This window comes from Homo sapiens, chromosome 11, assembly GCF_000001405.40.
Source record: "Homo sapiens chromosome 11, GRCh38.p14 Primary Assembly".
Lineage (NCBI taxonomy): Eukaryota > Metazoa > Chordata > Mammalia > Primates > Hominidae > Homo > Homo sapiens.
This window is the reverse complement of record NC_000011.10, coordinates 31687601-31703265: the sequence shown is the minus strand read 5'-3', so window position 1 is coordinate 31703265 and position 15665 is coordinate 31687601. Positions and strand designations below refer to the sequence as shown.

The window sequence follows — 15665 nt, the reverse complement described above, 5'->3', positions numbered from 1 at the left end:
ACCCCCTGTCTTCTTTTCACTGTTCCCCTTGCTTAGCAAGCTTGCTGACTATGCCACTGGTGCAAGGCCTAGGAGGCTGAAGAGGTCCTAGGAGACCAAACACGTAGTCACTGGATCCTCTGCATGTGTCATGCTTAGCAAGTCAAGTACAAAGTAAACAAAGAGAATGCAGGCAGTGACTATAAGATGTAACCCACACATGCAGCCCCCAAAGGACAACCAAAAATTAAAAGGAGCTTTGGTGTGTTAACTCATCTGCAATGTCTAATAAAAAGTGCTAGCAGCTATAATTTCCTGAGTGATTTTAATGAATTTAACTGTTCTAAGTGCTTTACATAATATTTATTTTCCCAATAAAATTTGAAGTAAATATTATTACATTAACTGGTCCATCTAACAACCTTTTGATATAGGCATTGATATCCTCATTTTATACATAAGAAAATGAAAGTTTAGAGGAGTTAAGTATCTTATACAAGGTCACATAGCTAAAAAATACCTGAAGGCAATTAAAAAACTTTCAGAGATTTTTTATAGCCAGAATGTACACCTAACACAGTAAAACTAACATATATTAAATGAATAATAGTATATGTTAAGGTTAAAGACTAAATGCTAACTAATGTCTATGATAAGGGAGAAACACCTACAGATGAAAAACTACGAATCAGATTTTAAATATATACACAGTGGTAAAATATACATAGCATAAAATTTATCTCTTAACCATTCTTAAATGTACAGTTCAGTGGCATTAAGTACTGAACTGTACATTTAAAAGTTGTATGTTGTTATGCAACTTTTACCATTATCCATTTCCAGAACTTTTTCATCCCAAATTGAAACTCTGTATCCATTAAACAATAAATTCCATTCTCCTCTCCCTGACATGTTTTAATTCAAGCCTAATTATTATTGTTATTATTATTATTATTATTGTTATTGTTATTATTATTATTTTTAGAGACAAGATCTCGCTCTGTTGCCCAGACTGGAGTGCAGTGGCCCAATTACAGTTTACTGCAGCTTTGAACTCCTGGGTTCAAGTGATCCTCCTGCCTCAGTCTCCTGAGTAGCTGGGTCAGGTGTGTGGCACCATGCCTGGCTCAAGTCTAATTACTTGTTTAATCAACATCTCAAAATCTCAGTGCTTAAAGTCTTTCCATCTCAACATGTGTAAACATATACAATTATAGGAGACTAAAAAGTTCACATTTGGAAATGCAACTATAACTTTATTTACTAAGTAGATTTAAAAGGACAGTCAGAAACATAATTCATCAATATATTATTCGCTTCGTACTGTGGCTAACAGTTGATATTCAATTTTTGGGAATAATATATAAACACTAAAGTTATGTATGCTGAGAAATAAAGGTATACTATCAGGTGTTTATAATATAAAATGTTTTTGTTTACCCATTTTAAAAAATGTTGTCTTTACTGATCAGTATTGAAAATCTACCTCTTATTATATTAGGTAAAATAAAATTTACCAAGGCTCAAGTTGGAAAAATAGATTAAAATATATATAATGTGTGTATATATATTTATTATATATATATTAGTCTATAAAACCATGAAATATATATAGGGCTTAAGTTAATTAACTGAAAATACAGGAAAAAACATAACTGGCTTGGCAATAGGAGCAGAAAAAAGCAGTTTTAGAACCCAGGAGACAGAGCTATTATAAAATTATGTTTAGGCAATAGCTTTTGACATAAATTTAAATAGGATACAATATCTGTGCCCCAAGATAAATTGAGTGAGATTAGAAGCTAATTAAGGCAATAGCATGATTCTACTAATAAAAAATCTTATTTTAAATATGTAGGTGTAAAATTAGAATACTTCATGGGTACTTCCAGAAAATCTTTTAAAAGGAATTAAAGAATAAGAGCAAGATACAAGGAGCTTATCAAAATCCCATTTAAGCAATGTGACAGCTTAGTTTTTATAATATTAAGTCCTCAAAATGGACTTTATATTGGCTATATAACAGAAAATATCCAAAAAGTTTTATTTTCCTGGTAAGACAAGGAAATTTTAAAAAGGAAAAGAAACTGCTTGAGCATGAAGTCCTTAAATATATGCAAAATGGTATGAGCAAATACAGAATGCAGAGAAGGCTATTTTCCTACACAGAGGTTCAAGTCATTGGCTATTTGAAACATTAAAAACACATTAGCCACTATGGCTAATCAAGTGATTGGTAAATCAGATTTTAAAAAGGTACTGCTTGAAATCCAAGGGTATTTTAACCTTGTAAAGAGGAAGGAAATCTTACAGGATAAGAGAATTAGCATGGGATGAAAACCACGGAGGAGAGGAAGAAATCTACTCACTCTCACATTTATACTATATATGACATAGGCAAGGAGAAAGAAAAAGGTTTTCTAGTATTTCTTTCTACATTCTCATTGCATACCAATGAGAACATTCTTATATTCTCATTGGGTTGCATTTGAAAACTGCAACACAGAACATGCCCTCTTGGTGAATCTAATGATGCAGCTCTAAGGGAAATTTTTGTAAATCTGACACTTTCCTGAATCAACTCCCAAAAGTCAGAATTTGAATACACATGTCCCTATCTTGAGTAAGTAATCTTTTCCAGCTGTCTTCCAAGGACTACTGGGGAGGGAATCAAGAGATCTTGGTTCTGTTACTTCCTGTGTGAGACTGGGAAAACGTACTTATTTGGGCCAGGATACCTTATACAGACCCACAGCCTTTATTCTCAATTCCAAAAATCCAAAAATCTCTGAAAATCTTAACTCGTTTGTCTACATGGACATAAAGCTATTTATAGTTTTTATTAACCTGACTTACTGTGACTACTCATATTATTATTACATAAATATTAATGTTTATGATGTATTTATTACCTTTTCAGTGATCATTTTAGAATAACTCATTTTGAAGTATTTTCAAACACAGAAAAGTATGCCAGAACAAAACAAAGAATTCCCATATCCCTATCACCCAGATTCCCCAATTTTTAATTTTTCATTTGCTCCATTTTTCTTTTTTTTTAAAAAAATAGATACACTCCCCTAAGCATATACGTATACCCATAATTAGTCTTTTCTGAAGTATCCAAGAACAAGCAGCAGACATGATTCCTATCAACCCTAAATACTCCAGTACTTCTTAAGACAAGGACATTCTTCTACAGAATCACCATATAAGCCTTTGAGTCAGAAAATCAACATTTATACAACACTACTATCAATCTACAGACATCATTCAAACTTTGTCAACTGCCCCAGTATCGTCAGGACATTCATTCTCCTCCCATATTCTCAGTCTCTCCAGGTCTTTCATGTTCTTGACATTTTTCCAAAGATACAGAACCTTCATTCTGTAGGCTAATCATAAACTTAGATCTATCTACTATTTCCTCATGATCATGCTTTTTGGGCAGGGAAACCACTAACATGATACTCTGCTCTTTTCAAGGCTACACATCAAGGTGATGTGCCATACATGAAGTTGACCCACTTGTGATGTCAACCTTGATCATCTGGTCATATTGTTCAGAAAATTTCTCCACTGTCATGTCATCCCTTAGTAACTAACTAGTAGTGCATAAGGGAGATATTCTGAGATTATGTCAATATCGTTTTCCTCATTAAACCTCATCAAACCCACAAGCCAGGCCTCAGTCTCCATTGAAAACTTCCATCTGAATTGAACTATGGGTGATGAACTATGACTGTCAAATGGTGATTTTCTATTTTTATCATTCCTTCGAGGTTTAATAGTTGGTATTCTATGGCAGGGAAGAGATTTCTTTTCCTACCTAACTATGCATCCATCTATCTCAGTATGGGCTCATGAATTTCCATTTTATTTAATGTTTTCCATTATTAATTTCGATGCTCAAATTTCCCAGACTGGCTAGTAGGAACCTCTTTGAATTAAATCCTGGGCCATGTTTTTTCATGCTCCTACTGTTCTTTGAGTATCTCCTTACTTTCTGGCACAAATTTTAGTCTCATTTTATACCTTCTGTGCCTCAATCCTAGAATTAGCTATCTTGCCAAGAGGCTTCCCTCCTCTTCACTTCTTTTTTATTTTTTGTGGAGGAAGAGACTCAGAAACCAATATTTGGGTACTTGGAGTATTCCCTAGGGTTGTCATTGCTTCTAGGCTCTTCAGAAGAGAAGGTTAAGAAATACACACATATATAGTACATAAACTCACATACAGATACATCTATTTCTACATGTATATTGTTGTGTGTGCTTGAGTGTGCATGGTGTATAATCATGACCATTTATTTGTTCTAAAATCATTTCTTTCAAATTTCAAGCAATGTTTTATACTGTAGCAGGCTTTGATGAACAAATTTTTATTCACTATATTCATGTGCTCCATGGTAATATGTATTTTGATGTTAATCTCTTTTAGCCTTAGTCTTGTAAGATCTTCATACAGCAATCACCTCCTCCTCATTCCATTTCCATAACTGTATTAATAAAGAAGATTCTGCTGAGGTCAGAGAATCAGGTAGAAATATAGGAAAAATATAATTTAAAATTTCCAGGTCAGGCATGGTGCTCATGCCTGTAATCCCAGCACTCTGGGAGGCTGAGAGGGGTGGATCACTTGAGGCCAGGAGTTCAAGACCAGCCTGGCCAATATGTTGAAACCCTGTCGCTACTAAAAAGACAAAAATTAGCCAGGAGTGGTGGCCCACGCCTGTGATCCCAGCTACTCGGGAGGCTAAGGAGGGAGAATCGCTTGAACCCAGGAGATGTAGGTTGCAGTGAGTAGAGATCTCACCACTGCACTCCAGCCTAGGTGACAAAGTGAAACCCTGTCTCAAAAAAAAATTTTTCTATGGCTGTCGCAATGTAATTGTAAGCATATACATAGGAAATGTATATACTTTGTGTTCATTAGTAATATTAAAGTACAAAAAGATATAAATAAAACATAAAAGGTTTGAAAGAGGTTTTAATTAATTAAAATCTGCTCAATAAATAACTTACAGAAAGATAAGGTGTTTATTTAAAACAGGCTTATATGACTAAAATTTATCAGTTTAATACAAATATGTGTTTAAAGTTTCAACTTTGAGTATACTATGCATATTTTATACCAGATTAGACTAACACGCCACCCCCGCTACAGCTGGGAAGGTTAAACAACAGTATGCAAATCTGAATTGGATATAACAGCTGTTCAAATGCCAGGGCGTACTTTACTTAAAAATGTGACCATTTAGTTCTGTTAAATATAAACTGCTGTTCTAGCTATGTGTATTATTTTCCTTAAAAAATCCTTTTAAAAAAAAAGCATTTTCTGATATGTAGTAGAAGCACTACTAAAGTTCAATGGGTTTTTTTTTAACTTTTTCTTTCTCAACTTTCTGAAAAAATGAATGAGACAATTCTCTTCTTCATCTCTTACATCCTATTCATCTCATCAGCTGCTTTTGTTAATATAAAAATATTATAAATAATCATTGGAAGAGTGGTATTTCTTTTGATGAGACCCTGATTGCATTTCAAGTCCTCATTTTAGACAGAAACAAGTTTAGACATTTTTAATAGTGGACAATAATTCCACCCTGACTACGTGGTATACATGTTAAATTATGAGTTGTGTAAGTACCACTCTCAAGGATAAAATCAAGAAATAAAGTCCTGAAGTTTCCAAGAATGACTACAAATACTTTATTTACAGAATGTCATCATCATTAAAAGTCTGTAAGATTATTTGTAAATGAAGGAGGTGGCCCGTTTTTCAATTTCTTGGGACCTAGAATTTTAGTAAGATGATTTTAAACAAATTGCTTTTGAGAGAAGCCTGCTTAATCTGGTATCAAAAAAAACCCAAGAAACAAAAAAGAGGCTTTCCTCTTCCATTATAATACAGAAACTGAAATGAAAGCCCTGATGTAGAGAAAACCCAATTATAATACAAGAAATGTAAAAGCTAGGTACTAGAGCTATTATTATCCTACTGGAAATGGAAACGAAGACTTAGAGATAACTCTTCTAAAGTCACACAGGAAGTCAGCAGCTGCTCAATAAGAAACCAGTTTATTGTGTGGGAGTCTAAGTCTCTTTGTAGGTCTCTAAGGACTTGCTTTATGAATCTGGGTGCTCCTGTATTGGGTGCATATATATTTAGGATAGTTAGCTCTTCTTGTTGAATTGATCCCTTTACCATTATGTAATGGCCTTCTTTGTCTCTTTTGATTTTTGTTGGTTTAAAGTCTGTTTTATCAGAGAGTAGGATTGCAACCCCTGCCTTTTTTTGTTTTCCATTTGCTTGGTAGATCTTCCTCCATCCCTTTATTTTGAGCCTATGTGTGTCTCTGCACGTGAGATGAGTCTCCTGAATATGGCACACTGATGGGTCTTGACTCTTTATCCAATTTGCCAGTCTGAGTCTTTTAATTGGAGTATTTAGCCTATTTACATTTAAGGTTAATATTGTTAGGTGTGAATTTGATCCTGTCATTATGATGTTAGCTGACTATTTTGCTCATTAGTTGATGCAGTTTCCTCCTAGCATGGATGGTCTTTACAATTTGGCATGTTTTTGCAGTGGCTGGTACCGGTTGTTCCTTTCATGTTTAGTGCTTCCTTCAGAAGCTCTTGTAGGGCAGATTCTTCTCAGCACCACATCACACTTATTCCAAAATTGACCACATAGTTGGAAGTAAAGCACTCCTCAGCAAATGTAAAAGAACAGAAATTATAACAAACTGTCTCTCAGACCACAGTGCAATCAAACTAGAACTCAGGATTAAGAAACTCTCTCAAAATCACTCAACTACATGGAAACTGAACAACCTGCTCCTGAATGACTACTGGGTATATAACAAAATGAAGGCAGAAATAAAGATGTTCTTCGAAACCAATGAGAACAAAGACATAACATACCAGAATCTCTGGGACACATTTAAAGCAGTGTGTAGAGGGCAATTTATAGCACTAAATGCCCACAAGAGAAAGCAGGAAAAATCTAAAATTGACACCCTAACATCACAATTAAAAGAACTAGAGAAGCAAGAGCAAACACATTCAAAAGCTAGCAGAAGGCAAGAAATAACTAAGATAAGAGCAGAACAGAAGGAGATAGAGACACAAAAAACCCTTCGAAAAATCAATGAATCCAGGAGCTGGTTTTTTGAAAAGATCAACAAATTTAATAGACCACTAGCAAGCCTAATAAAGAAGAAAAGAGAGAAGAATCAAATAGATGCAATAAAAAATGATAAAGGGGATATCACCACGAATGCCACAGAAATACAAACTACCATCAGAGAATACTATAAACACCTCTACACAAATAAACTAGAAAATCTAGAAGAAATGGATAAATTCCTCAACACATACACCCTCTCAAGACTAAACCAAGAAGAAGTTGAATCCCTGAATAGACAAATAACAGGCTCTGAAATTGAGGCAATAATCAATAGCTTACCAACCAAAAAAAGCTCAGGATCAGATGGATTCACAGCCGAATTCTACCAGAGGTACAAGGAGGAGCTGGTACCATTCCTTCTGAAACTATTCCAATCAATAGAAAAAGAGGAAATTCTCCCTAACTCATTTTATGAGGCCAGCATCATCCTGATACCAAAGCCTGGCAGAGACACAACAACAACAACAAAAAAAGATAATTTTAGACCAATATCCCTGATGAACATCTATGCAGAAATCCTCAATAAAATGCTGGCAAACCAAATCCAGCAGCACATCAAAAAGCTTATACACCACGATCAAGTTGTCTTCATCCCTAGGATGCAAGGGTGGTTCAACATACGCGAATCAATAAATGTAATCCATCGTATAAACAGAACCAAAGACAAAAACCACATAATTATCTCAATAGATGCAGAAAAGGCCTCCGAAAAAATTCAGCAGCCGTTCATGCTAAAAACTCTTTGATAAATTAGGTATTGATGGGACATATCTCAAAATAATAAGAGCTAGTTATGACAAACCCACAGCCAATAACATACTGAATGGGCAAAAACTGGAAGCATTCACTTTGAAAACTGGCACAAGACAGGGATGCCCTCTCTCACCACTCCTATTCAACATAGTGTTGGAAGTTCTGGCCATGACAATCAGGCAGGAGAAAGAAATAAAGGGTATTCAATCAGGAAGAGAGGAAGTCCAATTGTCCCTGTTTGCAGATGACATGATTGTATATCTAGAAAACCCCATTGTCTTGGCCCAAAATCTCCTTAAGCTGATAAGCAAGTTCAGCAAAGTCTCAGGATACAAAATCAATGTGCAAAAATCACAAGCATTCTTATACACCAATAACAGACAGAGAGCCAAATCATGAGTGAACTCCCATTCACAACTGCTTCAAAGAGAATAAAATACCTAGGAATCCAACTTACAAGGGATGTCAAGGACCTCTTCAAGGAGAACTACAAACCACTGCTCAATGAAATAAAAAAGGATAAAAACAAATGGAAGAATATTCCATGCTCATGGATAGGAAGAATCAATATCGTGAAAATGGCCGTACTGCCCAAAATAATTTATAGTCAATGCCATCCCCATTAAGCTACCAATGACTTTCTTCACAGAATTAGAAAAACTACTTTAAAGTTCATATGGAACCAAAAAAGAGCCCGCATTGCCAAGACAATCCTAAGCCAAAAGAACAAAGCCAGAGGCATATCGCAGCCTGACTTCAAACTATGCTACAAGGCTACAGTAACCAAAACAGCATGGTACTGGTACCAAAACAGAGATATAGACCAATGGAACAGAACAGAGCCCTCAGAAATAATACCACACATCAACAACTATCTGATCTTTGACAAATCTGACAAAAACAAGAAATGGGGAAAGGATTCCCTATTCAATAAATGGTGCTAGGAAAACTGGCTAGCCATATGTAGAAAGCTGAAACTGGACCCCTTCCTTACACCTTATACAAAAATTAATTCAAGCTGGATTAAAGACTTACATGTTAGACCTAAAACCATAAAAACCCTAGAAGAAAACCTAGGCAATACCATTCAGGACATAGGCATGGGCAAGGACTTCATGTCTAAAACACCAAAAGCAATGGCAACAAAAGCCAAAATTGACAAATGGGATCTAATTAAACTAAAGAACTTCTGCACAGCAAAAGAAACTACCATCAGAGTGAACAGGCAACCTACAGAATGGGAGAAAATTTTTGCAATCTACTCATCTGACAAAGGGCTAGTATCCAGAATCTACAAAGAACTCAAACAAATTTATAAGAAAAAAACAAACAACCCCATCAAAAAGTGGGCGAAGGATCTGAACAGACACTTCTCAAAAGAAGACACTTATGCAGCCAAAAGACACATGAGAAAATGCTCATCATCACTGACCATCAAAGAAATGCAAATCAAAACCACAATGAGATACCATCTCATACCAGTTAGAGTGGCGATCATTAAAAAGTCAGGAAACAACAGTTGCTGGAGAAGATGTGGAGAAATAGGAACACTTTTACACTGTTGGTGGGACTGTAAACTAGTTCAACCATTGTGGAAGACAGTGTGGCAACTCCTCAAGGATCTAGAACTAGAAATACTATTTGACCCAGCCATCCCATTACTGGGTATATACTCGAAGGATTACAAATCATGCTGCTATAAAGACACATGCACACGTATGTTTACTGCACCACTATTCACAATAGGAAAGACTTGGAACCAACCCAAATGTCCATCAATGATAGACACTGGATTAAGAAAATATGGCACATATACACAATGGAATACTATGCAGCCATAAAAAAGGATGAGTTCATGTCCTTTGTAGGGACATGGATGAAGCTGGAAACCATCATTCTCAGCAAGCTATTGCAAGGACAAAAAACCAAACACTGCATATTCTTACTCATAGGTGGGAATTGAACGATGAGAACACTTAGACACAGGAAGGGGAATATTACACACCCAGGGCTGTCATGGGGTTGGGGGAAGGGGGGAGGGTTAGCATTAGGAGATATACCTAATGTAAATGACGAGTTAATGGGTACAGCACACCAACATGGCACATGTATACCTATGTAACAAACCTGCATGTTATGCACATGTACCCTAGAACTTAAAGTATAATAATAATAATAATAAAAAAACGAGTTTAAGATTATTTCCATTCAGCACGTTACTCCTTTGGGTGGGCAGTGGAGAGTCTACGTCCCTTGCTTCCTTCCCTAATAAACATGGGGCACGAGCCATGTGTCAGAAACTCTGCTAGGCTTGGAAGAATCAGCGATAAACAAGACACTTGTGGTCTCTATTTACGGAATTGAGTATTTAAGTAGGGGATGATAAAAGTAATTGCAATCTAGTGTGGTTACTGCTATGATAGAGAAAATACAGGATGCTACCAGAGCATAAACGGAGGTATTCAATCTAGACTTGGTGTGGATCATAGAAGCCCTGAGGGAGACAGTGATATTTAAACTGCAGCCTGAAGGATATGCAGAAGTTAGCCTGGCTGAGACCACAGTGGTAGGAGGTGGAGAGGGTGTTACATTGGGGCTGTTGCTCCAATCAGAGGCAACATCATGTGTGAATGAGCCTTCGAGGAATTGGAATTAAGTAGAGCACAGGAAAACTCCTGTTTTGCTGATCTCCTGCTTTTCTGCAAAGCCAAGGTACAGAACTGGGAGCTGTCACTGTGTACTCTTCCAAAATGAGCAATGGAGCAAGAAGTAGAGTCAATGTGCTGGGGTAGCTAGGACTTTACTGTGCCCTTGCAAATGAAAAATTGATGGCGTACTTTTCTACACAAAGATTAGGTCAATTCAGAAACTGTTCTTTAAATAGTTTTCAAAATTCATTATTTATAGTAGTAGGGCAACAGTGAGTAGGGAAAACATTCTATCACTAGAAGTACTTAATGTTTTTTAGATTCTAGATCATAGCACTTACTGACCATATTAACTTAGGCTAGTTATATTGTATCTTTCAATTTCCTACCCATTAAGACGAAGGTCTGAAAACCATGGTCTGTACTTTCCTCCCCAACTCTAATATTTGGGCTACATTAATAATATAACTATCAGGATCATAGTATCAAAACACTGCTACTTGACAGCCCTGGATTCCTTCAAGTTAGTTTAGAAATTTTCCAATTCAACCAGAGCAGCTCCAGTATTGTTAGATTTCTTTATTGGACTTCTGAGTAAGAAGTTTCTCAGAGTTTCACAGCTTAAAAATTTGAAAACCACTTTTCATCTCACTGTTATGTTGCATAGACAAAATGCTTAAATCCTTAGTTGCTTAAAACATGGGGGCAATTCTCCTATTGGTTTGAATGAGGCCAAATCTATGAGTTCTTTAATGATGTTTCAATATCATGTTTATTACTCACTAAGAAGTTAATGTTAAGAGATATCATAACTTCTATCACAATAACCAGCTATGTGTCATCTCAGGATGAATAACCAGCTTTGTGTCATCTGGGGATATCTAATTAGGAAAAGTGGTATGATAAATATTTACATTCCTAGTTCAAAAATTGTTATTGTAAACATTGTGCTTATTGTTTTAAATTCAGAAATCAGAAAGAAACTTCAGTCATAAACTATGTCCTTTAGTTAAACAAGTGTAAACATATGTACCATTCTATTTGGTAAGGTTAAAAAAACCACTGCCAGTAAGGCAATTCTAAATTTACCATGGATTATTTTTTTAAGCTTGAAGATAAAACTGAGGCTTTATAAATGAGAAAATGATGTACTAAAAGCAAGACACTAAATCAATTTTAAACACCAAACACAATTTATGCCTGACTTTAAAACTCATCCACAAAACATTAATCTACACAAAGGCCAGAAGCTGAATGAAGCATAATTTGTGAAACTGATACCTTTCATCACAACCTCTAACTGAAAAGGTCATTAGATATATTATATCTAAGTGAGCAGCTTATCCCTGCTTCATTACTGATAATTAAGACAAGTAATATTTTCTTGACAGTAATGTGTCCGTTAACAGATATAGTCTAGTTTGCATAAAATAAGCATTAATTACCATAGTACTATCCGAGATTTAAAAAAAAATTAAGTACTTGTGTAACATGCCTTCATCATTTTTCCCCTTAATTTCCAGGCTCAGAAAACATAATGTACACATTAAGAAATTCATCTTTAGTCATGTTTAAATTCATAAGGTACATAACAAAATAGGTATTCTGAAAAAGCAACCAATGAAAGTGAAGGTACCTGTGACTGGGTATCATTTAAATTATCTGTACTAACTTGCCTTGCTCTGAGCTATATTAAATGCCAAAAGCAGCTATTCTTTAATGTTAAGGCTTTTGAAGTCTTAATGTAGGAAATTTGGGGAAGTATAAAATTGTTTCTAAACTGACTGAAAATTAAGAAGTAGTGCAAAGAGCAAAAAAAGTACCTTTAAAAGGCCTTGAATAAGAAAAGACATGATTTGCCTTTGCTTTCTGCGGCAAAAAAAAAAAAAAAAAAAGGAAAAAAAACCCACATGAAACTAAGTACTCAGTACAGGAAACCTTAACTATTACTAGTAATGACTAGTTACTACCAGATAAGAATTTTATTGTTTTTGGCCAGAGGCAAGATTTTCAGGGCCAACATTTTCTTTAAATAAATAAGAAAGATCAAAATAAAATGAAGGTAGGAAGCTAACGGAATTATGCTTTTTTATCAACTCAGACTTTGTAAACTAATTCAGTGTAAGAGGATAAAGGTTAAATTGGGATAACTGTGTCTTGTGTATGAAGTTCTAATTTTACTTTTCCACAAAGCTATAGAAGAAACTCACATTTTAGTAGAAATAATCCATCACAATATTGCAGATATAAAATATATATATTTTTTTTTAGGAAAAAGAAGGGGTATTTGGTCAGTGACCAAACCTTATTTGAGATTGCACTGTGCGTGCTCCCTCTCACTTGAAGGAAAGTGAGGGCAGATGGACTGGATTGTGGCACAGGTTTCTTTTAATTTGCCACATCTAGAAAAGGAGGAAAGCAGCTATGCCCCAAATGTTGGCAATTTAGCTAGTAGAATGAGGTGGAAACAGATGGGCTTTTGAGTCAGCTATTCCTCTGACTGAATCTTGGCTTTGCTATTCAGCAGACATTTGATCTTGCATAAGCACTCTCTTGAGCCTCAGGTCTTTCACATGAAAAAATCAACTAATAATATTTATTCTGAAGGAATTAATCTAAGGATTAAGTGAGATAATGCATACGAAACACATGTTATTTCCTTTTCCTTCCTTCATGAGAGGAACATTAATTTTGGTTCCATTTCACAGACCACCAACATTTCCCTGGTATATGGAGGAGGTGGAGAACAGAGTATTGTTTGCTAACAAGCACTTCTCCAGGTTTCCATTAGCAGAGCAATGCTTCTTTGCCTGAGTGAAAAACCACCACCACCACCACCACAACCACAACCCTATGAGAAAGATGCTAATTATCTCTATTTAATAGGTGAGAAAACTGAAGCAGAAAGACATTATTTGCTGAGCTCACACATCCAATAAGTGGTAGAGTCAAGTTTCAAATTCAGGCTGTTGAACTACAGAGCCTCATTCTAAATCACTATACCATACTACTTCATACAGTACATAGAACATAAGATGGGAAGTCAGTGGCCACAGACTTCCTATCATAAGCAAGGAGTTGGGCAGGTGCTTTCACATAATGTAATTCTCAGTCTTTCTTCCACCCTCCATTCAGACAAATGCATCAACCCAGACAGCAATTGGGAAGGAGAAATGCACTACATCTGCCCAGTGTGTAAGCCATTTTTTTCATTCTTCTTTCTTTCTTTCTTTTTTTTTTTTTTTTTAAAGACAGGTTCTCATTTTGTGGCCCAGGATGAAGTGCAGTGACACAACTGAACCTCACTGCTGACCCCTGAACTCCTGCGCTCAAGTGATCCTTCCACCGCAGCCTTCTGAGTAGATGGGACTACAGGCGTGCACCACCATACCTGGCTAATTAAAAAAAATTTTTGTAGAGTCGAGGTCTTGCTATGTTGCCTAGGTTGGTCTTCCACTCCTGGCCTCAAGTGATCCTCTCACCACTCAGTAGGCGAGAGCCACTGCACCCAGCTTTCCATTATTTTCAAGTAAAGATGAACCTATTGAAGCTAAAGGCATTCTCACAGGACAAGATACTAATTAATAATTAATCATACTTTAATCAGTATACTAAATAGTCTATGCCTGAAAGCTTCTCAAAGAATTAAAGCGAACCCTGTGCAAGGTGCTTATGTGCCATAGAAATTTTGTTCAGCATTCCACTCAATGACAAAGTTAACAAATTGCCATAAATTAGAGAAACCAAATATATTAGTCTAGATCTAATTTACTGTTCTCCCAATGATAAGAGCTGCAAACAGGAAGTCCCCTGATTTTCCCCCCTCAAATCCTCACAAATTTGTTTTCTTTTTATGTAGGCTCAAATTAATCTAATATGTATGTAAAAGTTAGGGACTCTCACAATTTCCTATCTCAAAGGCACTTCTACATACTGTTCACTCTTCACAGGTCAGTGACTATGCATATTAGTAAAATAATAGCAATACTGGAAGTTCATTTTCTAGTATAATATTACCAATTCTACATTTCTTGAGTGTATACTCTGCTTAGCAATGTGCTGTATAGATTTTGAATATTATACAAAGTGGTACCTTCTTGTTCTATTTACTACATGAAATCTTTGACATTAATGAAACATGACACAGTACTGTATTCTAGTATGAAATTTCCTCTACTCCAATATACCTGGTAAGACTTAGTGGGGGTCAAAAAGATCAAAAGAGTGGGAGGAAAGAATGCCTGAAAGATTAGGTTTATCTTTAGATTTTAGTTCAAATTCAATTACTTGGGTTATGACTTTCAAAGGTCAATTATTTTTAGCTAAATAAGTAGAAAATTGGTCCTGGTAAGCAGGCATGTATCTCCCAGGGGTGAGGATGGAGGTGGGGATAAGGAGAAACCATTCCCTTGCATTACAGTAAATGATACAATAATTTCACATTCATATATATAAACAGCATTAGCATAACACCATTCTTTGTAGAAAGGGATGTTAACATTTAGAAGGTTGTAATTATTTTAGGAATAATGAATTTCTATAAGGCATCTGTTTTTTCCAAAGTATTTTGGTTAAAGCCTGATTTGCGTGAAAACATAAATAACCTCTTGCTCCAGACTCAGAGCATCAGGAAGCTTTAACAGATGGCCTCATTTAAAAATCATTTGTTAAGATATCTCACATTTATCCAACACGCTGTCAACGTCTTCCTTTTATTCAATCGTGATTTTACATATTTCTGTCATAAATATTTTTTAATCCTGTGCATTCATGGAAATCACACAATTTAGTATTTATACTTAATTTGGTTTGGGGGTAACCCTGATTCTTTTAAACTTATGCCATTAACTAAAGTATTATAGAATGATTAATTATAGAAAAATACAAAGTTTAATATTAACTCATGAAAATGCAATCAAAAGCAACATTTTAATCAAGGTACAAGTGGAAAAAGCAAAATAATTGAAAAATTATCTATTCTGCACCCACCTCTATTATTCTTTCCTTCTCCTTTCTTTCATTCTCAAGAATCTGGAACAGAGAGTCGATACTTGCTGTCTCTATTTCCTTACCTCCCATTCACTTTTTCTA

The 15665-nt window shown here is 35.5% G+C and overlaps 1 protein-coding gene and 1 long non-coding RNA gene across 4 annotated transcripts in view, besides 1 other annotated feature; one reads left to right on the top strand and one right to left on the bottom strand.

Moving 5' to 3' along the window:
* Positions 1-14243, top strand: part of ELP4-AS1 (ELP4 antisense RNA 1) — a 78869-nt gene extending 64626 nt beyond the window's left edge. Inside the window, exon 3 of the long non-coding RNA NR_199065.1 lies at positions 13826-14243. This is a non-coding gene — a long non-coding RNA (ELP4 antisense RNA 1). The remainder of the gene's footprint in view (positions 1-13825) is intronic.
* The window catches only part of ELP4 (elongator acetyltransferase complex subunit 4), a 280558-nt gene that overhangs the window by 87059 nt on the left and 177834 nt on the right, over positions 1-15665 (bottom strand). The window lies entirely within an intron of this gene.
* Positions 5942-6031: an enhancer, noted in NCBI's record as "active region_4558". NCBI's record gives its function as "activates an Ori minimal core promoter by ATAC-STARR-seq in GM12878 lymphoblastoid cells {active_cell/tissue: GM12878}" and the evidence as "EXISTENCE:reporter gene assay evidence [ECO:0000049][PMID:35858748]".